Genomic DNA, 26,340 nt, shown 5'->3' with positions numbered 1-26,340 from the left:
GGCCTAGATCTTGGGCCAGTGCCTCACCAAACAGATGAGGACTATCCCTAAACGCTTGAGGCAAGACCATCCATGTAAGTTGGGACATGTGGTCTGTGGGATCCTCAAAAGCGAAGAGAAACTGGGAGTCAGAGTGCAGGGGAATGCAGAAGGAAGCATCCTTGAGGTCCAGAACAGTGAACCATTCTGCTTCCTCTGGTATTTCAGAGAGCAGGGTATAGGGGTTGGGTACAGCTGGATATAGAGGAATTACTGCCTCATCGATGAGTCTAAGATCTTGCACTAGTCTCCACTGACCATTCGGTTTTTGTACTTCTAGAACTGGGGTGTTGCAGGGACTGTTGCATTTTCTTACTAAGCCTTGAGCTTTTAAATGTCTTGTTTTTTGTTTTTTTTTGTGTGTGTTTTTTTTTTTTTTTTGGTTTTTGGTTTGTTGTTTTTTTTTTTTGAGACAGAGTTTCACGCTGTTGCCCAGGCCAGAGTGCAATGGTGCAATCTCTGCTCGCTGCAAACTCCGCCTCCCAGGTTCACACCATTCTCCTGCCTCAGCCTTCTGAGTAGCTGGGATTACAGGCGCCTGCCACCGCACCTGGCTAATTTTTTGTATTTTTAGTAGAGACAGGGTTTCACTGTGTTAACCAGGATGGTCTCGATCTCCTGACCTCGTGATCCACCCACCTTGGCCTGCCAAAGTGCTGGGATTACAGGTGTGAGCCACCACGCCGAGCTGAGCTTTTAAATGTCTAACAATATTCTGTAATCTTTTATGAGCTTCAGGCCTTAAACAATATTGCCTTTGATAAGGAAAAGTGGTGGGGTCTTTTAGCCTGATTTAAACTGGGTAGGCATTTTTTGCCCTTCCGAATTGTCCTTCCAATGCCAAGACTTCAGGGTTGATTCTCTCCTCAAGTGGGGGACAAAAAATGTGTAACTTGTCCCCGGTATTCATGTAGATAATAGCTCCAGCTTTGGCTAATATGTCCCTCCCTAATAAGGGTGTGGGACTTTCAGACATAACAAGAAAGGCATGTGAAAAGAGCAAAGTCTCCCAATTACAACTGAGCAGGTGGGAGAAATACCTGGTTACAGGCTGTCCCAGGATTCCTTAGATGGTAACGGACATTGAGGACAGCTGTCTGGGGCAGGAGATTAACACAGAGAAGGTCGCGCCAGTGTTCAGGAGGAAGTCAATTTCCTGGCGCTCAATGGTTAAACTTACCTGGGGCTCAGTGAGGGTGAGAACATGAGTTGGCACTTGCCACAGACACCCTCAGTCCTGTTGTTGGATCATCTGATTGGAGGCTTCTGGCCCAGAGAACCTTTGTCCTCTGGAGCAGTGCATCTTCCAGTGATTGCCTTAGCATAGTGGACTTGAACGAGGGGGCGGCTTGTTTCTTGTTGGACAATCTTTTTTAAAGTGTCCTTGCAAACCACACTGATAACAAGCCCTACTGGGAGATTGGTCTGCTCCATTTTCTGTTGTCTCTGAACCACCAAGGTTTGTTTTTCTGAGGGCCATGACTAAGGCTGTGGCCTTTCTCTGATCTCACTTTTCCTTTTGGACCTGTTCCTCTTGGTCCCTATTACAGAACACTGAGGTTGCCAGATTTAATAATGCCTACAGATTTTGTTCAGGGCCCAGGGCTCGCTTTTGGAGCTTTCTCCTAATATTTGCAGCTGATTGGGTAATAAACTTATCTTTGAGGATCAATTGACCCTGGAGGGAGTCAGGTGACAGGGGAATACACTTTCTTAAGGCCTCCCATAACCGCTCAAGGAAGGCGAAAGGATTTTCTCCCTTTCCCTGACTTATGGTGGATATCATTGAATAATTCATGGGCTTTTTCCTAATTCTTCTTAGTCCTTCTAGAACACAGATCAAAAGATGTTTGCCACTCCAGTCCCCATGATCTGAGTTGAGGTCCCAGTTGGGATCCACACTGGGGATGGCTTGCTGACCAGTTGGGAATTTGTCCCTTTCTTTGGCTGTCATTCTATCATTTACTTCACTAACATACCAGGTATCTCCAAACTCTTCGGCTGCAGCTAAAGCCGCATTCTTTCAGTATTGGGCAAAATTCAGCCCTGATATTTCATGTAGGTTCTTTTCTATTTTCCCTGAGGGTTGGCTGGTCTGAGAAATAAAGGGACAGAGTACAAAAGAGAAAAATTTTAAAGCCGGGTGTCCAGGGGAGACATCACATGTCGACAGGTTCCATAATACACCACAAGCCACAAAACTAGCAAGTTCTTATTAGTGATTTTATAAAGGGGAGGGAGTGTATGAATAGGGTGTGGGTCACAGAGATCACATGCTTCACAAGGTAATAGAATATCACAAGGCAAATGGAGGCAGGGTAAGATCACAGGACCACAGGACTGGGGCAAAATTAAAATTGCTAATGAAGTTTCAGGCACACATTGTCATTGAAAACATCTTATCAGGAGACAGGGTTTGAGAGCAGACAACCGGTCTGACCAAATTTATTAGGTGGGAATTTCCTCATCCTAATAAGCCTGGGAGTGCTACAGGAGACTGGGGCTTATTTCATCTCTACAGCTGTGACCATAAAAGACGGCCACCCCTGAAGCTGCCATTTCAGAGGCCTACCCTCAGGGACACATTCTCTTTCTCAGCAATGTTCCTTGCTGAGAAAAAGAATTCAGCGATATTTCTCCCATTTGCTTTTGAAAGAAGAGAAATATGTCTCTGTTCCACCCAGCTCACTGGCAGTCAGAGTTTAAAGTTATCTCTCGTGTTCCCTGAATGTGCTGTTATCCTGTTCTTTTTTCAAGGTGCCCAGTTTTCATATTGTTCAAATACACTTGCTCTACAAACAATTTGTGCAGTTAATGCAATCATCACAGGGTCCTGAGGCGACATACATCCTCCTCAGCTTACGAAGATGACAGATTTAAGAGATTAAAGTAACGACAGGCATAGGAAATTGCAAGGGTATTGATTTGGGAAGTGATAAGTGTCCATGAAATCTTCACAATTTATGTTCAGAGATTGCAGTAAAGACAGGTGTAAGAAATTATAAAAGTATTAATTTGGGTAAATAATAAAAGTCCAAGAAATCTTCACAATCCATGTTCTTTTGCCATGGCTTCAGCTGGTCCCTCCATTCAGGATCCCTGACTTCCTACAACATTTCAGTAAAGGCCAGGGTTTGATCTAAGAGTAGCATGACATCTATCCAGGTGAGGTCCAAGGTTTGCCCTAGACCCTGTAGGACATCTATATACCTATCAGAATCATCTGAAAACTTCTCCAGGTCTACCTTGATCTGTTTTAAATCAGAGAAGGAGAAGGGGACATATATGCAGGTTGGGCCAAAATACCCTCCACCTACAGCTTAAAGGGGACATAACCAATAGCCTGGGGGTTTTTATGGTCCCTTGGATATTTCTTTGCTTGTTTCCTTCTGGGTTGGGGAGATTAGAGGAGTCTTATCATTAATAGGAAGGGGAGCTGTAGGAAGGCTAGGATCTGGAGTGTAAGCTGAGAGGTCCTCCTGTGGAATGTAAATTGCAAGCTTTGCATACTTGTGGATTATCCTCCAATGAAAAGAAAGCTTGGACATAAGGTATTTCATTCCATTTGCCTTCCCTCTTACGGAAAAGTCAAGATGCAGGATAGTATTGTAATTTATACTTCCCTCAGGTGGCCATTTTTCCCCTTCAGAGAGAGAATATTGGGGCCAGGCTATAATGCAGAAAAAAATGAGCCACTTCTTTTGCAGGGTTTGTGGGTCAAATTGGTCCCAATGGCTTAGGATGCATTTCAAGGGTGAGCCTGCTGATGCCTGAGTGTTTCCCACCTGAAAGAAAAAACTGCCCATTTTTTCCCACCTGCCAAGAACCTACAACAGTCCCTGGACCCTGTGTTCAGAATAGTTGCACTCACTGAAGCAGCAGCGGAAACACTAGTTTTCCTCCTAGACCACAAACGGGACCAAGGAAGGTTGGATTTAGTGGCCCTTACTGAAGCATTCTTGAAACCTGTTAGTTAGAGTCCTAAGCATTTTCTCCTGTGGGTATTGGGACCTTACCCTTGTCCTATAAAGTTATGCCTCAAAATGGAGTCGAGGGCCATACCCTGAGGGAGGGAAGGGATCTCCAGGGTTGGAAGAGTGACAACTTTTGTCCTCACTTCTCATCATATGAATAGGAAGGATATAATTTCTGAGGCTCCCCATATCCTAGCTTCGGGAATAGCCTTTGTTAGGCCTGCTAGTCTGAGGATGGATCCTAAAATTCCTGATAATGCCCCCCCAAATGGGAGTTCAGGCAAAAATTATGTCTTTCTGATTGGTGAGCCCAGGTGCCTAAAGAAGGGAACAGAGTCCCAAAATTTATATTAGAAATCTTCCTTATAGGAGAAACTAGAAGACCACCAGGGACAAGGAGTGGTTTTTAGAAGTGGGACTAGCCTTGGAGAAGAGAGGTGGGAGGGTTTGTCTGACAGCATTAGGAACCAGGAAGCAAGGGTCAGGATAGATAGGATAGATGGGCGAGTCTCTCATGGATGACATAACTTTGAGAGTTCTGCTCATGGCTGCGGGGTCAACCAAATTTTTACTGGGACCCCAGAGCTGAATGACTTTCTTCTGTCGACCCTCGGCTCAGCCCGGAAGTGCAGGAAAAGCAGAAGCTGGTTCCAGGCAAACCAACGCTCCTGACTCTGAAGAGTCAGCAATTGTTAGAGAGCCATTTCCCAGAAAGCCTGACACCCATGTCTTTATTCCAGCGGCCATGCTAGCCACTTTTAACTTGCCAACAGGTGACCAGTGTTTAGCCCCCAAATTCTAAGGAAAAATAGGACAGAATAGCAAGTGAAAGGGGTCCAGTGATACTCATCATGTGGTGCTATCCCAGATAAACCCCCAAGTTGTGTCCGGAGTTGGTTCCTGCCTGTGGGTTCGTGATCTTGCTGACTTCAAGAATGAAGCTGCAGACCTTTGTGGTGAGTGTTACAGCTCTTAAGGGTGGCACGGACCCAAAGAGTGAGCAGCAGCAACGTTTACTGTGAAGAGCAAAAGAACAAAGCTTCCACAGCATGGAAGGGAACCCAAGTGGGTTGCTGCTGCTGGCTGGGGTGGCCAGTTTTTATTCCCTTATTTGTCCCCTCCCATGTTCTGTTTCTGTCCTATCAGAATGCCCTTTTCTCAATCCTCCCCATGATTGGCTACTTTTAAAATCCTGCTGATAGGTGCATTTTACAGAGCACTGATTGGTGCATTTTACAGAGCGCTGATTGGTGCGTTTTACAAACCTCTTGTAAGACAGGAAAGATCCTGATTGGTGAATTTTGCAAGCCTCTTGTAAGACAGGAAAGTTCCCAAAGTCCCCACTCGACCCAGGAAGTCCAGTTGGCTTCACCTCTCAAAATCATTTCCTCTAAAATTGTGAGCACTGAAAAGTCAACAAATAGATAATAAAGTGTGGAAAATATAGCTTAACTTTTTGTCAAAGGAGTTGAAAACTTTGGGTTGGTATATAAGAATTGACCATGCCAGTAAACTTTCTGAGGACCCCTCCAAAAGTACGAGTGAGATGCAAATTAAAAGTATGAGCACTTTAGAATCAAAGCTTATTTTTCTTGGACTACTGACATAAATATGCCAAAATATGCCCTTCAACAATATGTATTAAAGACAATGGATATCGGCCGGGCTGTGATTATTCTTACACCAATAGCTTGAAATGCAACTCTCTTAAAGTTATAAAACTCTTTCAAGGCCTCAGTCTTATTTTGATGGCCTATTTTCATGTTTGTTGTTGTTATTTTATTTGAGTTTGTTTATTTATTTTCAGAATCAAAGCAAATAAACATCTTGACCAAGTCCTGACAGATCTGTGAAATTTTTAAGAAGTCTCAAAATTGATGTTGAAAAATATTACAATGTAGGACATGCCTGGCTTCCCATTCACCTTCTGCCATGATTGTAAGCTTCCAGAAGTCTCCATAGCCATGCAAAACTATAAGTCATTTAAAATTCTTTCCTTTATAAATTACCTCGTCTCAGTTATTCTTTATAGCAGTGTGAAAACAGACTAATAAAAAACCAAAGTAAAAATTTTAAAATGAGATAATGTCAAGCCAAAACACTTCTACACAGCAAAGAAAAATCAATATATTGAAAAGAAATCTGAATGGGCAAAAATATTTGAAAGCTATCAACTTAACAAGGGATTAATAAACAGAATATATAAAGAACTCAACTCAATAGCAAAAAAGCAAATAATCCGTTAAAAACGAGGAAGTGATTTGAATAGACATTTGTTTTAAAAGATACAAATGGCCAAGAGATATATGAAAAAATACTCAACAGCATTAATTGTCAGGGAAATGTAAATAAAAACCACAATGAGTTCTCATCTTACCCCAGGTAAAATAAATATTATCAAAAAGACAGAAAATAACAAATTCTGATAAGGACTTGGGGAAAGGCAAACCCTAGGGGAACACTTACATATGGTCCCTGAGAGTATAATTAGTGTAGGAACTATGGAAAACAGTATAGTGTTTCCTTAATAAACTGAAAGTAGAATTACCATATGATCTAGCAATCCCACCACTGGGTAAATGTCAAAAAGAGATGAAACAAGTATATTAAAGACATATCTGCCCTCCCATATTTATTGTATAACTATTGAAAAAGCCAAGATATGCAATCAACCTCAGTGTCCATCAAGACATGAATGTCTAAAGAAAATGTGGTAAATATATACAAAGGAGTATCATTTAGGCATAAAGAAGAATGAAATCCTTTCTTTTGTCTCATCATGTATGGAATTGGAAAACATTATGTTAATTGAAATAAGCCAGCACAGAAGGACAAATATTGCATGGTCCCATGCACATGTGAGAGCTAAAAACATGATCCCATGGATATAGTAAATATAATGGTGGTTACCAAAGATGGAAAAGGTGGTGGGGTGGAGAATTGCAGAGGAGTTTGTTAATCAATAAAAAAAAATTTATATAGAAGAAATAAGTCCTGGTATTCAATAGCACTACAGGGCATTGATATATTTTGGATGTATGTCACCTCCAAATCTCATGTCGAAATCTAATCCTTAGTGTGGGAGATGGGTCCTGGAAGGAGGTGTTTGGGTCATGGGAGCAGATCCCTGGTGAATAGCTTGGCACTATCTTCATGATAATGAATGAGTTCTGGCTCTGAAGTCATGTGAGATCTGTTTTTTAAAAAGAATGTGGCACCTCCCCACCCCTTGCTCCTGTTCTTGCCATATAATGTGCCTGCTCCCCTTTTGCCCTCCACCATAAAAGGAAGCTTCCTGAGGCCCTCAACAGCAGCAGATACTGGCATCATGTGTCCCATACAGCCTACGGAATAGTGAGTCAATTAAATACCTTTTCTTTATAAATCACTCAGGTATTTCTTTATAACAATACAAAAATGACCTATCACAGAAAATTGGTTCTGAGGAGTAGGGCCTCACTATAAAAAGCTGAAAGTGTGAAAGTGGCTTTGGAACTGAGTAACAGGCCAGAGGTTAGAAAAGTTTGGAAGGCTTGGAAGAAGACTCAATAGTCGGGGAAAGTTTGGAACGTGAACGTTTTGGCGACTGGTTAAATAGTTGTGGCCAAAATGTTGATAGAAATATGGCTAGTAAAGGCCAGGCTGATGATGTCTCAAATGAAAATGAGCAACTTGTTGGGAACTGGATTAAAGTTCATTCTTGTTACACCCTAGCAAGGAGCTTGGCTACATTTTACACATGTCCTAGAGATCTGTGGAAGGTTGAACTAAAGAGTAATGACTTACAATATCAGGCAGAATAAATTGCTTGGAAGCAAAACTTTCAAGAAGTGCTGTTACTGCTTCTAACACCCTACAATCAGATATAGGAGCAAAGAAATGACTTCAAATTGGAACTTATATTTAAAAGAGAATTAGACCATAAGAGTTTAAAAATTTTGCAGCCTAGTCATGTGGCAAAGAAAGGTAAAGCATTTTCAGGAGAGAATAAAGTGGGCTGTCCAGCAACAACTTGCTAAAGAGATTTTCATGACTAAAAGGGAGCCAAGTGTTAATAAATATTGTCCCATTTAAACAATGGGGAAAAGTCCTCAAAGGCATTTCAGAGTTCTTCGAGGAAGCCTCCCCCATCTCAGGTCCAGATGCCTAGGACAAAATAATGGGTCCAGGGGCCAGGCCTGGGCCCTGTTGCCCAGCTAAGCTTTAAGACACTGCTCCCTGTGTCTACCACTGCTCCACCTCTAGCCATGACTCAAAAGGCTCCATTTGCAGTTTGGATGCTGCACCACAGGGTGCAAACCATAAGCCTTGGTGGCTTCCATGTGATATTGAGTCTACAGATGCTCAGAATAGAAGCATGAAGGAAGTGTGGTGGCTTCCACTTAGACTTCAGACGACATGTAGAAAAGCCTGGATGCCTAGGCAGAAGCCTACCATGGAAATGAAGGCCCCAGAGAGGAACTTTCCTAGGGCAATGACAAGGGGAAATGTGGAGTTGGAGACCCCACATAGAGTCTCCATGAGAGCAATACCTAATGGAGCTATGGGATGGAGACCACTGCCCTCCAGACCACAGAATGGTATTTCCACGTGGCAGATTGCACCCTTTGCCTGGAAAAACCACAAGCACTCAACTCCTACTTGTGAGAGCAGCTATAAGGGCTGTACCCTGCAATGCCACAGGGGCAGGTTTCCAAGGCCTTGGGAGCCCCACCCATTGGACCAGTGTGACCTGAATATAGGACATGGAGTCAAATGAATTTGTTTTGGAGCTTTAAGATTTAATGACTTCCCTGCTGAATTTCAGACTTGTATGTGGTCTGTTGCGCCTTTCTTTTGGCTTATTTCTTCCTTTTGGATTGGGAATGTATACCCGAGGCATGTACCATCATTGAATGTTGGGAATAAATAACTTGTTTTTCATCTTTCAGGCTCAGAGGTGGAAGGAATGTGACTTGCAACTCAGATAAGACTCTGGACTTTGGGGAACTTGAGTGGATGCTGAAACGAGTTGAGATTTTTGGGGACTATTGGGAAGGGATGATTGTATTTTGCAATATGAAAAGGGCGTGAGATTTCAGGGGCCAGGGGCAGAATGATAGGGTTTGAATGTTTGTTTCCTCCAAATCTCATGTTAAAATATAACTCCCACTGTTGCAGATGGGGGCTGGGTCTTGGGGGCAGATCCCTCATGAATAGCTTGGTGCTGTCCTTGTGGTAATCAGTGAGTCTCGCTCCGAGTTAACGTGAGATCTGATTATTTAAGAGTGTGGCACTTCTCCCCTCTCTCTTTTGCTCCCATTCTTATGTGATGCACTTGCTCCATCTTCGCATTCTGCCATGATTAGTAGCTTCCTGAGGCCCTCAGCAGCAGCAGAAGCCAGCATTATGCTTTGTGTGCAGCCTGTGGTACCATGAGCCAAATAAAACTCTTTTCTTTATAAATTACTCAATCTCAGATATTTCTTTATAGCAATGCAAGAAGGGCCCAAAACAGGTGACTATAGTTAACAATAATGTATTATATATTACAAAATAGGTAAAAGAGATTTAGAATGTTACTAACAGAAAGAAATAATACATTTTTGAGGTGATGAATATCACAATAACCCAGATTTGATCATTATACATTTTATGCTTGTATCAAAATATCATATGTACCCCATAAATATGTTCAATAACTATATATCCATAAACATTAAAAATAAAAATAGAAAATGAGAAAAAAATATCCAGTTTGTAAATAAACTACATTCTACAAAGATTCACCTTAATGCCTGTTTTGCTTCAAGCACCCACATTGTCCACAGTTACACAAAATAGAAAAAAATAAGGCATTCAGTTTGAAATATAAAAATATTAAACAGGCCGGGGGCAGTGGCTAACACCTGTAATCCCAGCACTTTGGGGGGCCAAGGTGGGCGAATCACCTGAGGTCAGGAGTTTGAGACCAGCCTGGCCAACATGGTGAAACCCTGTCTCTACTAAAAATACAAAAATTAGCGGGGCATGGTGGCATGCACCTATAATCCCAACTACTTGGGAGGCTGAGGCAGGAGACTCACTTGAACCCAGGAGGCGGAGGTTGAAGTGAGCTGAGATCTCACCACTGAACTCCAGCCTGACTGCATTCCAGCCTGGGCAACAAGAGCAAAACTCCATCTCAAAATAAATAAATAAATAAATTTATGATGGGTTTTGAATAATGTTACCTACAGATGATTTTATATTTCAAATGATATTGAAATATAGGGATTTAAGCACTGTTAAACAGTATTCTTCATGTAAGTACATAACATTTATTATGTTAAGATGTATTGAGAGTCTATAAGATGCAATATGTTAGCAGAACTATTTTACTTTCTTGTGAGTGCTGTATTACATCTAGCAGAAAAATAATATATTATTAATGACATTTTGTAAAAGTAGACCTTTGTGAATGTCTGATTTATCTCCACTATATTCATATTTTTAATCTTGCAAGATAATTCTCTTTGATGGTATTATTGGAGGTAAACACTAGCAAAACATATTCTAGAAGAGGAACAGAAAACCCATAAAAATAGGCACATCACTATAATTAAACCTTGACTGCTGAAATGTTAACAGACATTTTAAGGAAGCAATGATAGGGATTTTAAAAAATGTACTAACCCAACCCATACTTGTATTAATTATTTTTCAAATTTCTTCCTTTATTTAAAAGATGTGATAGTGGAAGGGATAAAGTCTCTGCTCTCTACTCTTTCCAATTCTTGAAGGCTATAGAATATATGGAGGATCTAATATCTTACAAGGAAAAACAGGATTTAAAAATCAGTCCTTAATTTATTAGGAATATTTTCGTCAAGAGCAATGTCTCAGATTGTGGGGTTTTTGACCCCCAGGGGATTTTTGCAATGTCTGGTGAGGTTTTTTATTGTTTGTTACAACTGGAGAGGGGGAGCTGCTGGTAATCTTCCATACATTATCTAGTGGGAAGAGGATAGAGATATGGCTAAAAATCCTATAATTTGCAGAACAGTTCTTATGACAAAGAATTATCCAGCCCAAAATGTCAATGTTGAGAAACATTGATCTACAGTTAAAATTTCAATCAACATAACGCATAAAAGACAATATGCTCGAATTCAACTACAATTACATATTTATGGTCAGATTAGTTACAATCTTGATTGTAACTAGGGTAGTGGTATTAGGATTATCTTAGATTATACGTGTTGCCACATGGTAATACATGAGGCCAGGTAATATTTATAGAATAGAGGTTTATTTAGCTCATGATTCAGCGTGCTGTTCAAGAAGCATGACATCAGCATCTGCATCTGGTGAGGCCTTCAATCTGCTTCCACTCAAGGCAGAAAGTGAAGTGGAGCCAGCATGTGCAGAGATCACATGGTAGGAGAGGAAACAAGGGATATGAGAGGGAGGTGTCAGGCTCTTTTTGACAACCACCTCTCAAGGGAACTAACAGAATGAGGGCTCACTCACCACCCCCTTCCTCATGGAAGGCATCACTCTATTCATGAGGAATCTGCCCCCAAAACCCAAACACCTTCCATTAGGCCCCACATCCAACATTGGAGATCAAATTTTAACATAGAATTTAGATGACAAATATCCACACTACAGCAATGATATAGGAAATAAGGCATCAAGATGATCTGATGCTCTTGATCCCTGGAATCTTATAAATGTCATAAGAAAAAGCTTGTAAAATGCCCATTTAAGACTTCAAAATAATTTTAACCAATGAAATTGTGTGTAATTCTTCACCGATAAGAAATATCTACTATAGAGAACAAAGCATGTTTTTTAGCTTGATGCTATGAAACAATTGAATTATACATATGTCCTCCCAATGAGAAAGACCCTATGAGCCTGAGGTTATATTCATTTTTATTTAATCTGTTCTGCCACAATGTGTGCACATAATGCAGTATATATAAATCATAAATAAAGAAAGATATCGGTATATAATGCACTTGTGTTACTTTGTATGTGATTTTACTTCCTATACTGGGTAAGTCAGGATGGTGGGACAAGGGGAAAAACACAAACCTAAGCTTGGCTGCTGGCACTGACAGTAGGAGTTCTTACAACTGTGTTTAGGAAAATGAAAACCAAGCATCAGATCTTGCAACTCCCTACCCGGATTAGATTATCAGTCTCTCACATCCTGGCTTACAACTCTCTCCATCCTAATGGCACACTCACAGACGAATACTTTTTATTCCATCTGTGTGGTCTCAATATCTACCAGCACTGTAGTAATGACAGCTATGTAAACATTTTCATTCTATTGTTTTTGTTCAATTTAAATATTCATTATGACAATCTCTGCCCAAGCTGAATTGCCAGCTCAGACAGCTCAAGTTAGCACCTATGGTACAAACTAATGTTCTTGTTAGTGCTATGAAAATTTTTTAGAAATGCTTGTATTGGATTATGGCTGAAATGAGTTTATTGCCAAAAAGCAATTCTGATTGTATGCATCAGTTTTCTTAGTGCAATTAAATTAAGACAAGTTTGGAGAAGTGGATACATTCCATGTATTCTAATTAAATTATGTTTTGAGTCTGCTAGTTTTAGATGTACTTTCTTGACTGTGGTAAAATTATCAAGAAACTAATACCCTGTCAACCTTCTGGAAGCCAGCCAATGGGATTTAATCTGGTGATGTACATCTTTGTTATCCCATAAATCCTAGCACAAACATGCAAACACATTTGAACTCATGGGGATTGTATGCTTTTCAAAGGAAATAATAAATATCATTTCATAAATATGTCATATTTCTTTATATTGGCCAGTATATTTTATTATCTTACTGAGAAGAAATTTTTTACAGATTTAGGTATCATGAAATCACAGTTTTACTTAACATTGGTATAAATATCATATTAATTTTAAGTCATGAACAATGTGTATAAACTGTTGGCACTAAGGTAAACTTCATAATCTAAAAGTGAAAAGAAATGGGCACAGAAATAGAGGAAAACATGTAGGGAAATTAAGTTTACTAAAATAACTAATTTTTATTTCACCTTAAAATAAAAATACCCTTAGCACTTATCATTCCAGTGCTTCTGTTAATTTTAGCCCCATCCATATTGGCAAATATAATATTACCTGATAAAAATAATCTTAGTAGGTTATTTTTCAACCATATGTTATCAAACGAGCCTGTTGCAACATTAGATCTCCATTGCAGTACATGATACTATGGCTGTTGATATTTCTGTTGGAAGAAATGCAGTATGACAGCATTTCAGTGCTTCTTTGAAGAAGTGTTCATTGGCTATATTCTGGGGTTTTATCTTTTTCTGTTGAGGCAGAGCATTAAGGATTTAATCATTACAGTTAATTTTTTTTCAAGATCTTACTGTTTTTGAGTCAAAGTTATAGAGAAAAATAAAACACTATGTTAAATGAATTTGTTAGCCATTTTTATGCATTGAAAATCATTTTTTCTCCACAAATTTGAGCCAAGACTGAAAATCATTCACTATACATCTATCAATTTAATCATACAGTCAATCCTTCCTTCTTTTGGAGGCTATTGAGAATTATGAATGTTACTTATCAAAGAAACATTATTTTTTTTGAGTGGCACAATCTTGGCTCACTGAAACTTCTGCCTTCCAGGTTCAAGTGATTCTCCTGTCTCAGCCTCTAGTAGCTGGTAATAGAGGTGTGCACGACCATGCCTGGCTAATTTTTTATATTTTTAGGAGAGATGGGGTTTCACCATGTTGGCCAGGCTTGTGGCAAACTCCTGACATCAAGCGATCTGCCCGCCTTGGGCTCCCAAAGCGCTGGAGTTACAGGCATGAACCACCATGCCCAGCTGAGAAACAATTTTCTAGACTTGATTTTATTTCACATAAATCTTTAAATTTGTCAAGAGAAAACAAACTATGTGTTAATTGTTTGATTCACATTTGTTTTACCTTGAGATTCATAATTACTCTTAAATTGTGGAAATTAAGAATTGTGGAATCTCTGATAATGTCAGATCTTATAACTTAAAAACACAATACCAGAAAGTAGAAGTAAAACCATCTTTTAGTGATTAAAGAAGAAAATTGACTTTTTAAGCAATGAAAAAGTGAATTGATAGTTTTGCAAAGTCAGTATTGTGTTTAATATACAAGTAAAAACAAGTTAAATTGCTTATAGTATGTTAACATGCACTTAGAAGAAATATAATAGATGTTGCATTTCTAAGGTAGAAAATAATTCAGCCATGGAAAATATGCTCATACATGTATGTGTATTAATAATATTGTTTCTGTGTTATTGTATATTTTGAATATCACCTCTGTCTGGAAATAGCTGTATTCCATGTTTTACAGATTGCTATGCTCAGGAATTTACTTCTAAAGTCAGAGTCAGCCATACTAAAACAATAAATTTAAAGGGTTACAATTAGATACTGGAATGAAAGTAAATCACCCTGGTCCAAAATATGTATATGTGAACCCCAAATATCTGAGAGAAGTTTCAGTCAATTTAGAAAGTTCATTTTGCCAAGGTTAAGAATGTGCTCATGACACAGCCTCAGGAAGTTCTGAGATATATGCCTAAAGTGGGTGGGGTACAGTTTGCTCTTATACATTTTAGGGAGACATGAAACATGAGACATCAATCAATATGTGTAAAATAAACATAGGTTCAATCTGGTAAGGCATGACAATTCAAAAGCAATGGCTTCTGGGTTAGAAGAAGAGACAAAATGTTGCATTCTTTTAAGTCTTTGATCAGCCTCCCACTGAATATACAATTTAGTCTGGCTCAATGAATCTGCATTTTTACATAAACAATAGGGGAGTGGAAGCAATACGATATTATTTTGTCTCAGGAGAGACTCAGAGGAATGTCTTTGAATAGAATGGGAGGTACTATTATATTCAGTCCCCAGCTTGACTTTTCCCATTAGCGTAGTGATTTGGGGGTACTAAGTTTTATTTTCCTTTCACATTTCCCCCCTTTTCTTTTTAAAATCTTTCAGACAAAGCATTGTAGAAGAAAATTAGTCACCTTGTAGAAGAAAATTAGTCACCTTATAGAAGAAAATTAGTCACAAATTAGTCTCAGGTTTCATCTAATCTCTCATGGCTAGGGTGATTTATTCCTAGATGGGTAGGTCCCACATTATGAGGAAAGCTCATTTTCAGCTGATTGTGAAGTCTCATGTTCTATGAAGAGAAAATAGGGGCAGGAAAGAAGAAAACAACAACAAATGAAAAAAAAGAACAATCCTGGAAAATCAATGTAGGCTGTATTATGCTGAAGTCCACACACACAACAGTAGGCAGGTATCGATGTGGCTTATGTATGTAAATAGGTTGCTGTTATTTCCTTCCGAAGTTTAAGATGTCTAGCTTCAGTTTGCAAGGCTTTAAGAAAGCACAGATTAGTTTTCAGTGATTTCAAATTAGGAAAAATGAATGAAAAAGGGAAAAGAAAGAAGGAAAAAAATTCAAACATTATTTTGGAGACTTGTAGCCAAGAAAAATGTTAGAATTCAGTCCAATTTGTAGAGAATAATAAAAATTGAAAAACATTAGGCAAGACTAGAAACTAATAACAGATGTACTATAGCTTATTTTGAAATGCAATTTTTCTCTCTCCAGTCTCCCATTTTTATTAAAAACAAATCATAATAGGACTGATTTGTTTGCAAAAATAGCTTTTGTCTTATATGTGGCCTGATTATTTGTGTAAAGTGCAGCAAGAGTAATTATTTTTTACATAGTCTTTTAAAATTGGCTTTGATGGAACTTTGTTCCATAAGGAATCTCAGATAAGACTTTTTTTTTTTTAATCCAAACACAGCCATAGGTTTGTATCCTCAAATACCTATGAGTAAATTTCTCTCCTTTTGAGGTCTTGAGAAAACTTGGGGCATGTTAGAAAGTGACATTCATAGAGGATTTTTCTTGGCCCCTTTGTGGGCCTCACAGAAGGAGACACTCTGTCTATTCAGTCCAGTGGGCTGTGCCTGAGGGCAAGCCTCCCTTGTGGATTTGGCAGCTGCCACAACTGTGCACTCAGGCCCTAGTGGGAGGGAGCATGTGAATGAATGAGTGTGGGGTCCAGCTGGCTGCTATGAGTGCCAACGCAGGAGAAGGTTCCATGTGGGCCCTGCAGCCTGACCAGGCATGTTGCCCCAAGGGGAATGTGGTGGCACCCATGCAGGGGTTCCCTTGACCATAAAACACAAGAGCAGGTGCTACAGTGTGTTAATTAGCTCTTTTAGTTCTGCTGTCCAGAGTCTGACACATGGCAGCATGTTAGCAAATCATTCAGCCCCTTGCCTTGCTCTGGCCCATGACTCCAGGACTGGCTCAGCCCCACTGCTGCTTCTGTTGTATGGGGCAGCTGCCTCCACTAGCAAGGGCAGAGGGCCACAGTGTTACAGCCTTTCTAGGTACCTGTTTTCAGTGGGTCCTGAGCTCATATCATGTGCCCAAGAAGAATGAGGTCATGCTGACAATTGGAGGGTGATGACGGTGGATAATTTTACTAAGTGACAAAACAGCTTTCAGCAGAGAGGGAATGGGGAGGTGGTCTCTCACCTGAAGTCACATCATCCCCCCCATTGTTGCTGAGTCTGGAGTTTTTATAGGCATGGGATGGGGGAGGGGCAGGCCATACATAGTACTGGATAAGGCAACATTTGATTGGTTAAAAGCATTATTCAGAAAGAACCAATCAGGAAAGGTTGGGCAAACAGCAATAGACGTTCTCACTGTGGGTCATGGGTTTCGTCCAGAACAAGCACTCCAGGGTGTTTTTGGCTTGAAAGTGGGGTTTCACCAGGGACCGCATCATCTGCCTAGTCATTTGACTGCCTCCAGTCACTATCAATATTCTTTACTTATTATAGGTCAGAAGCCCTATACAGGGACTGTGCAGACAAGCTATAAGGCCAGTTTTCCCAAGGAGCTCTTATTGGCTAAGTCAAGCTTGATTCCTTAAAGGAGAGCATGCCATTTAAGTCAAAGCCTTGGTAAAACAATCAGTTTCTCCAATTGTGTCCTGTTGCAAAAGAAAACATTCTTATTGCACTTATGCAAATAATTACATTGCCATAAGTTAAGAACACTCACAAATATTTTCCAAATTCTGGAGAAATTAGATGGAGAGAAATGTGCTCCAAATTTTGTTCACAGGAGTATACTTTACTCAATTGTTAAAAGCTGTAAATAGCTTAAAAATTTTCTTCACTGAAAAACAAAACAAAGGATCAGCAACATTTTAAGCAAAAGGTCAAAAAGATTAGTTCAGTCTTCTAGCAGTTCAGTCCATGCAGTTAACTCTGCATTCAAGAGCACCTATCAAATTCTATAGCTGATTGTAAACCACCTTTTGAAGAGGATCAAAACAAGAGGGCTGTCTGTGAATGACAAAAAGTCTTGGGACGGACATTATTAAAACCACAATTGACTGGAAATTTGTTGCTTTCGTGACATACAACAATTTTACATAACAATTATAATTATTAACAATATACATTGTAGTATCAGAATTATAGGAATTTTGCATAATTTTAGAATACATACAAATAACATTTATACAAATACAGCCTAAAGAAAATCAAACACCATTTTATATTTGACCATGTTTTGTGTATGATTTTTGTACCAAATAAGCTGAATATGTCTCTTTTGGACTTCAGGGGATGAATATAAAAAAAAATCAATGAGGACCCAAGTTATAATTTGACTTTGGAAAGTTTGTCAAATACAAAAATTTAAAATGCTTGATATCATGAAAAATTGTCATTGTAAAATTAGTCATTCATTTAATCAAAGTGATAACTGGAAGACTTAAAAAAAGTGAAAATCTTTATTCATTGAGAGAGGAGACTTAATTTTCCAAACAATAAGCCTTAACTACAGCACAAGGCCAATTAAATCTGTCTTTCAAAATCTTATAAACAATCTTTAAAATTTTAATCATTTTGATCATAAGATATAATTTCCTTAAACCTTCTTGTATCCTTTATAATTTTTATTAAGGAGTGAGTTAATTCTCCAGGAAAATCTTGTTAATGCGACACAGGGGTCCAGATGCTGGTTTTGCATCTGTGTGCCTTTGATATTAATGGTTAATTTCTAGGGAAAGTGAACCAATTTTATCTCTTAAAATCGGCCCTTATGATCTCATGTGCCCATCTCTTCTGCGATAGTCACTGGGCCTCGAGGAGCTGAATAGTTTTTTATCTCTGGCCCTATGTCTCAGGAACACAGTTTATTTTGATTTGCGTAAGCTACTGGGCCCGAAGATGAGGGTTTAATTTAAGCTCTCTGTGTTTAAGATTTAGCAGGACTTGGTGTCCCTTTTAGACCCTGGAGTCAAAGCCCTGCAATGCAATGTCACAAGAAATTTAAAAGAACATATAGGAAGGTACACAGATGTAATATCTTTAATTAAATAAAATTTTTAAACTTTTTTTCTAAGTAAACCAAAACTCAATAATAATGACATAGGAATTATTTTGATAAAAGATACAATCTGTTAGGCCAGTTACCAACAGGCAAAATAAAAGACCTTCTGCAGTGCACAGAATATTATGTTGGAAGAAAACATTTCCTTTAGACCTTTAAGGAAACATTTTTAACATTAGGCCACAACAAACAGTTAGAACCCAAGGAAAAAAAACTTAAATGAGCTGAAAATGAATTGAAGGAGAGAGTTAATATTTTGTGACTTTTAAAAGGGAAGAGAAAAGTGAGCACTGTGAGATGCAATAGAAGTTGTACTTAGGGTTAAAAAAAGATCAAAACCTCTTATAATTTATTAAGAGTAAATCAATCCCTTAAGAAAACTTCACTGTTCTAACCAATTCCTAAGTGTATAAGTGTTTTGTTTTGTTTTGTTTTTAACATCAAAACTCAATCTCTAGAAAGACTAGTATAAATAATTTCCCTTCCATTATGGACAACTTGATACAAATAACTCATAACATGCTTGGACTTCCAGTTTTAACTTAGACATTCTTCTTTCTTAGTCAACCATTATTTTATTTTAGGATAAAAATTTACCAGCCGGGTGTGATGGCTCATGCCTGTAATCCCAGCAATTTTGGAGGTCAAGGTGGGTGGATCTTCTGAGGTCAGGAGGTCAAGACTAAACTGGCCAACATGGCAAAACCCTGTCTCTACTAAAAATACACAAATTAGCTGGGCATTGTGGTGGGTACCTGTAATTCTAGCTACTGGGGAGGCTAAGGCAGGAGAATTGCTTGAAGTTGAGAGGTGGAAGTTGCAGTGAGCCAAGTCACACCACTGCTCTCCAGCCTGGGTGACAGAGCAAGACTCTGTCTCAAAAAATAAAATAAAATAAAATAAAATAAAAGGCTGTGAGTGATGCCTCAGACCTGTAATCCCAGCACTTTGGAAGCCCTAGGCGGGTGGATCACGAGGTCAGCAGATCGAGACTGTTCTGGCTAACACGGTGAAACTCCAGCTCTACTAAAAATACAAAAAAATTAGCTGGATGTGGTGGCAGGCGCCTGTAGTCCCAGCTACTCGGGAGGCTGAGGTAGGAGAATGGCGTGAACCCGGGAGGCTGGGGGTGCAGTGAGCCGAGATTGCACCATTACACTCCAGCCTGGGTGACAGAGCAAGACTCTGTCTCAAAAAAATTAATTGCCTTGCAAGATTCTTTCTCATATAAAATTATTTTCTTTTTAAACTTTCTTGCCAAAAAAACTACTTTATAACTTTGTTTACATTGTTCTTATTCACTGATTACCTGTACCTAATTTCATAAATTTTCAATATCCTTTGAATTAGACAAAAATTGTTTTCTGTTAAATAAGAACACATTTCTTTTTTTCAGAAAGATGTTTTCCTATAATTCTAGAAGAGATTGGAAATGACCCAGACATTTAGTAAATATTTATTATTTAGATTTATATAACTTTAGACTTTAAATTATATGACAAGATTATCTACAAGCATCTATTCCATTACATTTACTTAATTAATTTTTAAATACTTTACTGAGATTAATTATGAAAACTGTGATAGCTATCACTTAAGGTTCTTTGTTAACCACTTTTATACCCTGTGAATTTCAGGCTTTCCTAAGTAAGAACCTTAAGGTTACATAGATGGGTTTGTTGTTGTTGTTTGCCAATTGCTCAGAATTTAGCTATTTTCATTAACAGAACAATATTAAATGCTGTATTTGTTAATTTTTACTTAAACAAAGATACTTCTCTTTTGGGCTGCATTCATAGCTTTATACCCGTCATGCCAAATTTTGACATCTAGCAGAGATAAATAATGTATGTTGACAGTTCTAAAGCCATTTCTAAATCTATTTCACCAAAATTTTTTAAACCAGCTGATTTATTAAAATTTTCTTAAGTTATGTGAACTTGAAAAATCATTTGGCTTAAAGTATTTTTCTGATAAAGTATTTGATTTAAGTGCTTTTTAAAGCCCATTAGAGTTTTTTAATATATTTTAGTAGTGAAACGTCATATACATGACACATAAATACAGAGATATATTAGACACATAGCTAGTAGATCTTATAGATTAATAAGACTTCTATTTTTCCGCCTATTTTAGACATCCAATTTCTTGATAACTATTTTATTACCCTAGGCAATTGTCAGAGAGCCCTAAATCTGCATATTAAAGGAACTCTTAGGTGAAAAATCAGATAATGAAATTTACATCTCAAAGTACAGAGAGAATCTGATGGTGCTTGAGGGAGATTAAAAATGAATGCCAAATCAAACATAAAATTATAGAAATCTATCATAGAATTATGTAATAAGACCAATTTTATTTTGCTAGAGACCACCTATCTCCTAACTGGGTATCTGAGCTTTGGGCAGAGCCCATGTTCAATCCTGGTTCTCCAAAAAAGGAGAATTCTTATGTGGCTAGGCCAGGTGATTGTTTTACAGTACATCAAGGAAATCTTTTTAACAAAGACATTTCTATGTGTCTAAGCTATACTATTCCTTAAAGATCCAAGAGTAGCCTCTGTTGTAATAACTAATTTATGTTTTACTTGTCAAAAAATCAGGTAACATAATACAAAACCAAGTAGTTTATGATCTGAGACGGACTTGTCTGTTTACACTCTTGGGGTTCCATAAGGAAAAGAGGTTTCTTCCTAAAAGGGAGAGTGGCACCTTCTCCAATTTATTTAAGGAACCCCAGTCTATTAGAAACTATTTTAGACCCTTCATGCAACAAAGGGTAGGAAAAGAAAGGAGAGACAAGAGAAGTAAATGAATAAAACAGAATTCAGTCAACTGAGAAGAAAAAAAATTTGCTCAAAAAAGACAAGATCCTAGGAGAGAAAAAAAAAAATAGAAAGGCCTTTTAATACACACACACACACACACACACACACACACACACACACACACATATCATGAATGTTAGCTTCTAATTAAGCTGACCTTTACCCATTGAGCTCCTTTAAAAAAATATTTTAAAATCTCATGACTATATTTTAGCTAGGCCAAATTAATGATATTTCAAAAGTAACAAGTATCAAACCAAAAAAGGGCTTGATTTAGGAAGCAAACTCAGGCTGTCATTGTGAAAGAAAAAGAAGGCAGGACCTTAGCTATGGAACTGCATAATGGGTGACAGCCATTGCTTTTCAGGTTGACTTGGCTAGCAAAAAGGTGGCCCTTTTATGTAAATAAAACCCCTTTAGAAGTCAAAATAAAAAATCTTCTCTCCCTTTTTTTGTGAGAATTTAGCCACTTCAGGTGCCTTGTTACCCATAAGTTGGAGCTTTCCTTTGGATTTGATCAAGTCAGATAGAGTTGGTCATACCCAATGGGAAAAAGACTGAAACAACAACAAAAACAAAAATAAACAAACAACAACAAAAAAAAACAGATGAGCAAAACAAACAAATGATTGCACAATTCATTTGAATATTGAGTGATCTAATGTTAAGGAGAAATTAAGACCAGCTGGTTGTTAATCAACTTTAGCCAAGACAAAATTCCCCAATTCAGCTACTTACCTATGGGTGGGTCTCAGGCAGAAGTCTGCTCTTTACCATCCTAGAAGCAGGAAACAATTCAAACTTGCCTTCCCTTTTGGAAGCTGAAACTCCAGAAAGGAGTTACCTGCACTCCATCATTAAGGAAACAGGAAAACTTGCCTTCTGTCACATGTGTCTATGTGAAGAGACCACCAAACAGGCTTTGCGTGAGCAATAAAGCTTTTTAATAACCTGGGTGCAGGCGGACTGAGTCTGAAAAAGAGGTCAGCAAAGGGAGATGGGGTGGGGCAGTTTTATAGGATTTGGGTAGGTAATGGAAAATTACAGTTAAAGGGTTTCTTTTTCTTGTGGGCAGGGGCAAGGGTCACAAAGTGCTCAGTGGGGAGATTCTGAGACTCATTGTCCAGGAGAAGGAATGTCACAAGGTCAATTGATCAGTTAGGGTGGAGCAGGAACAAATCACAATGGTGGAATGTCATCAGTTAAGGCAGGAACTGGCTATTTTCACTTTTTTTGTGGTTCTTCAATTGCTTCAGGCCATCTGGATGTACATGTGCAGGCTTGGACGTAGAGGCCTGACACCTTCCTTGTGGGGAACAAGTAAAACTCCAACAAAGGGAGTTGTACAGCAAATTAAACTTTAGATCCCAGTGAAATTTCAGGAGACAAGGGATTATCTGGAAGGGGAGCTTCCAGGTCTCAGCAAATTTTCCTATTGGTTTGTGCCATAAAGAAGCTCAAGCTGGTACCAAACACCAATAGGAGATTTGCCAAAGGTCAGTGGTACCTCCGCTCAGAATCCCTTTGTGATTACCAAAATGTGAACCCCAAATAACTGAGACAGGACTCAGTCAATTTAGAAAGTTTATTTTGCCAAAGTTAAGGACACTCTTGTGACACAGCCTCAGGAAGTATTGAGACATGCGCCCAAGGCAGTTAGAAGTACAGTTTGCTCTTATACATTTTAGGGAGACATGAGACATCAATCAATATGTGTAAATTATACATTGGTTCATTCAGTCTGTGATATTATTGAGCTGTGTGCCCAACCAAATCTCATCTTGAATTGTAGTTCCTGTAATCCCCACGTATGGTGGGAAGGACCTGGTGGGAGATAATCGAATCATGAAGATGGTTTCCCCCATGCTATTCTCATGATAGTGAGTTAGGTCTCACAAGATCTGATGATTTTATAAGGGGCTTCCCCCTCCACTGGGCTCTCATTCTTCTCTCTCCTGCCCCCATGTGAAGAATGACATGTTTGCCTCCCTTTCCATCATGATTGTAAGTTTCCTGTGGTCTCCCCAGCCTGGTAGAATCGTGAGTCAATTAAACCTCTTTCCTTTATAAATTACTCAGTCTGGGGCAGTTCTTCATAGAAGCATGAGAGCAAGCTAATACACTCCAGAAAGGCAGGAAAACTCTTGGTAAGGCAAGACAACTTGAAGTGGGCACTTCCAGGTTAGGAGTAGATAAAACACACAGGTTGCACTTTTTTGAGCCCTTGATCAGCTTTCCACTGAATACACAATTTTGTCTGGCTCAGTGAATCTGCATTTTTACATAAACGATAGGGGAGAGAAGCAATCAGATATCCATTTGTCTCAGGTGAGCCTCACCACAGGGATGACTTTGAATAGAATGGGAGGCAGGTTTGCCCTAAGCAGTTCCTAGTTTGACTTTTCTCTTTAGCTTAGTGATTCTAGGGTCCCAAGATTTATTTTCCTTTCACAGATGTTAACTAAAAGGTAAGAGGCAAGTACAACCTTTCCAATTACTTTTGCCTCAAACCATGATCTAGAAGCAGGGACCAGATTTACCTTCCTACCTTAAACAAACAGAAAAGCAAACAAAATATTTAAAACAAAAGTTCTCACATATTGAAAACACACCGAAAAGGACTATGATCATGAAGTGGAGGAAAACAAATGAGGTGAGCTCTAAAATCACATCAGCTTTCTGCCCACAGGCAGTTTCCAGGTCACCGCACAGAGTAAAAAGAGACCAAATAGAATCTGCCTTCTTGCCCAATTAAGAAGGCAGAAATCAGAGTTCAGGGAGGTGAAAGCAGCTCAAATTTGTGGAGCAGAATACTGGAGAGGAAGGAGCTAAACAAAAATAGCTTCCGAAATCTCCAGAGAGTGCCCCTTGAGCCTTTGGCCGAGTTCTAATCTGTTTATGCATGAGAGGAAATTTATCCAAGCCCAGAAAATAATAACCACTGGAAAGCAGTAGTCTAAACAATTCCTGAGTTCAAGCAGAGCAGGGAATAGCTCATGATCCTATCAGTCCAAATGGAAAGGTCTCTAAATAGATAAGACAATATGAAGAATTCTTAGATGAGCATTACTTCAGTAACCTCAGTAGTTGGGCTACACTAGACTAATGCCTGCTCTGGAGGTGGACTTGAAGTGAACCTCTAAAGTGTCAAATTGATTCTAAGCAACTTAAAACTTAATTGCCTGTCTAAACAAAGCCCAACGCTTCTCAAAAATAGAAATAAAGCATCCTGCAATTAAATTAACATCTGACATCTAATCAAAAATTGCCTGGCATTCAAGAAATGAAAACAAAATATGACCCACAGGGAGGAGAAGAAATCAATAAATAGTTCCAGAAATTACAGAGAAAATGGAATTAGCAGAAAATACTAAGTGATAATTCTGTTCTCCTTCAGGCCCTTATACTTCTGCATGCCTTGTAAACAAGACACACTGACTGCTCTTTGTTTCTATGTTTTCAAGAATGTTTGTATAGTGAGCAGCCTTTGTGATAGAGATGTTTTCTCCCTTCATAGCAAATGGTTGGTGTGCTTATAGCTTTGAAAGAGACAGATAGTGTTTCCCATTAGAGAAAAATGCAGGTACCTTTAATGACCATAATAGTAAAGGCAATGTCTCACTCTGGGGCAAAGAGCAGGGATGCTTATTGTGCATGATAAGAGACTCAAGTGTCCTAACTCAGCGTTCGTCTCCTGTAATGCAACACATTTTGTGTGCAGGGATCATGCAGTCCTCTTTGCATTGGCCTATGCACATTGGGGATCAAATAACCAAGGTGAAAATGCTGATACTCTGGCTGTAATATTACTGTGAGTACCAAACTGTCAAATGTTTAGGTCCCACAAGTATCATGCCATGTACAATCATCCATAAAACTGTCAGGGAAATTTGTCAGCTTGCAATTGGTATGTAATCTCATTCCCTTCATGGCTTATAACCACAAGTATATTAAAACAAAAAATATATCAATGTTCTATATGACTGAGAAAATAGAGAAAAGGAAAAAAGACATAGTAAGAGAATATAAAAACTAATAAAAAAGAAAGAAATAAAACTAGTAGACAAAAAAGTCAATATGTGATATAAAATATGCCTTGGATGAGATTAAAAGCAGATGAGATTCTGGTGAAGAAACCTCAGTAAATGTAAAAACACAGCAAACAGCAACTGTTAAAATCAGAAAGTCAAATACTGCATGTTCTAAGTTATAAGTTGGAGTTAAACAATGTGCACACATGGACATAGAAAGTGGAATAATGGACACTGGAGACTTGGAAATGTGAGAAGTTGTAAGGGGAATAGAGGATGAGAAATTATCTAATGGGTACAATGTACACTATTTGGGTGATGGTTACACTAACAACCTAGACTTCACCACTACACAATATATTCACGTAACGAAACTGCACTTGTACCCCCTACATCTATAAAAAAATAAAACAAACAAACAAAATCACAGAGAGGAAAAGAAAGAAAAAATCCTAACTTGATAAAAAGTCAACAATGCATCAGTGACCTGCGGAAAAAACGTTAAGTTGTCTAATATATGTCCTATTGCATCCTAATAGGAAAGAAAAGAGGAGGAAAAAGAAGAAACAAATTAATAAAACAATAGCCAACTTTTTTTTTTTTTTTTTGAGACAGAGTCTTGCCCTGTTGTCCTGGCTGGAGTGAAGTGGCGCAATCTTGGCTCACTGCAAGCTCTGCCTCCCGGTTCACGCCATTCTCCTGCTTCAGCTTCCTGAGTAGCTGGGACTACAGGTGCCCGCCACCATGTCTGGCTAATTTTTCATATTTTTAGTACAGACGGGTTTTCACCATGTTAGCCAGGATGGTCTCGATCTCCTGACCTCATGATCCACCCGCCTCAGCCTCCCAAAGTGCTGGGATTACAGGCGTGAGCCACCATGCCCAGCCAACAATAGCCAACTATTATATAAATGTATATATGAAAACCGTAGTCTTACAAATCCAAGAAGATCAATGAAGACTAAAATAGAAGTTAACCACAAGACACATCACAGTAACATTGCTAAAAA

General features: G+C 38.7%; 1 annotated feature.

Annotated features, from left to right (window-relative positions):
- Nucleotides 23,352–23,860: an enhancer, noted in NCBI's record as "NANOG hESC enhancer chr13:62704622-62705130 (GRCh37/hg19 assembly coordinates)". NCBI's record gives its function as "activates a minimal SCP1, AML or CMV promoter by ChIP-STARR-seq in naive H9 embryonic stem cells {active_cell/tissue: H9 hESC(naive)}" and the evidence as "EXISTENCE:reporter gene assay evidence [ECO:0000049][PMID:30033119]".

Source organism: Homo sapiens, chromosome 13, assembly GCF_000001405.40.
Source record: "Homo sapiens chromosome 13, GRCh38.p14 Primary Assembly".
In the NCBI taxonomy this organism is placed as follows: domain Eukaryota; kingdom Metazoa; phylum Chordata; class Mammalia; order Primates; family Hominidae; genus Homo; species Homo sapiens.
Note: the sequence above shows the minus strand (reverse complement) of the source record. Positions and strands in the feature narration are given on the sequence as shown.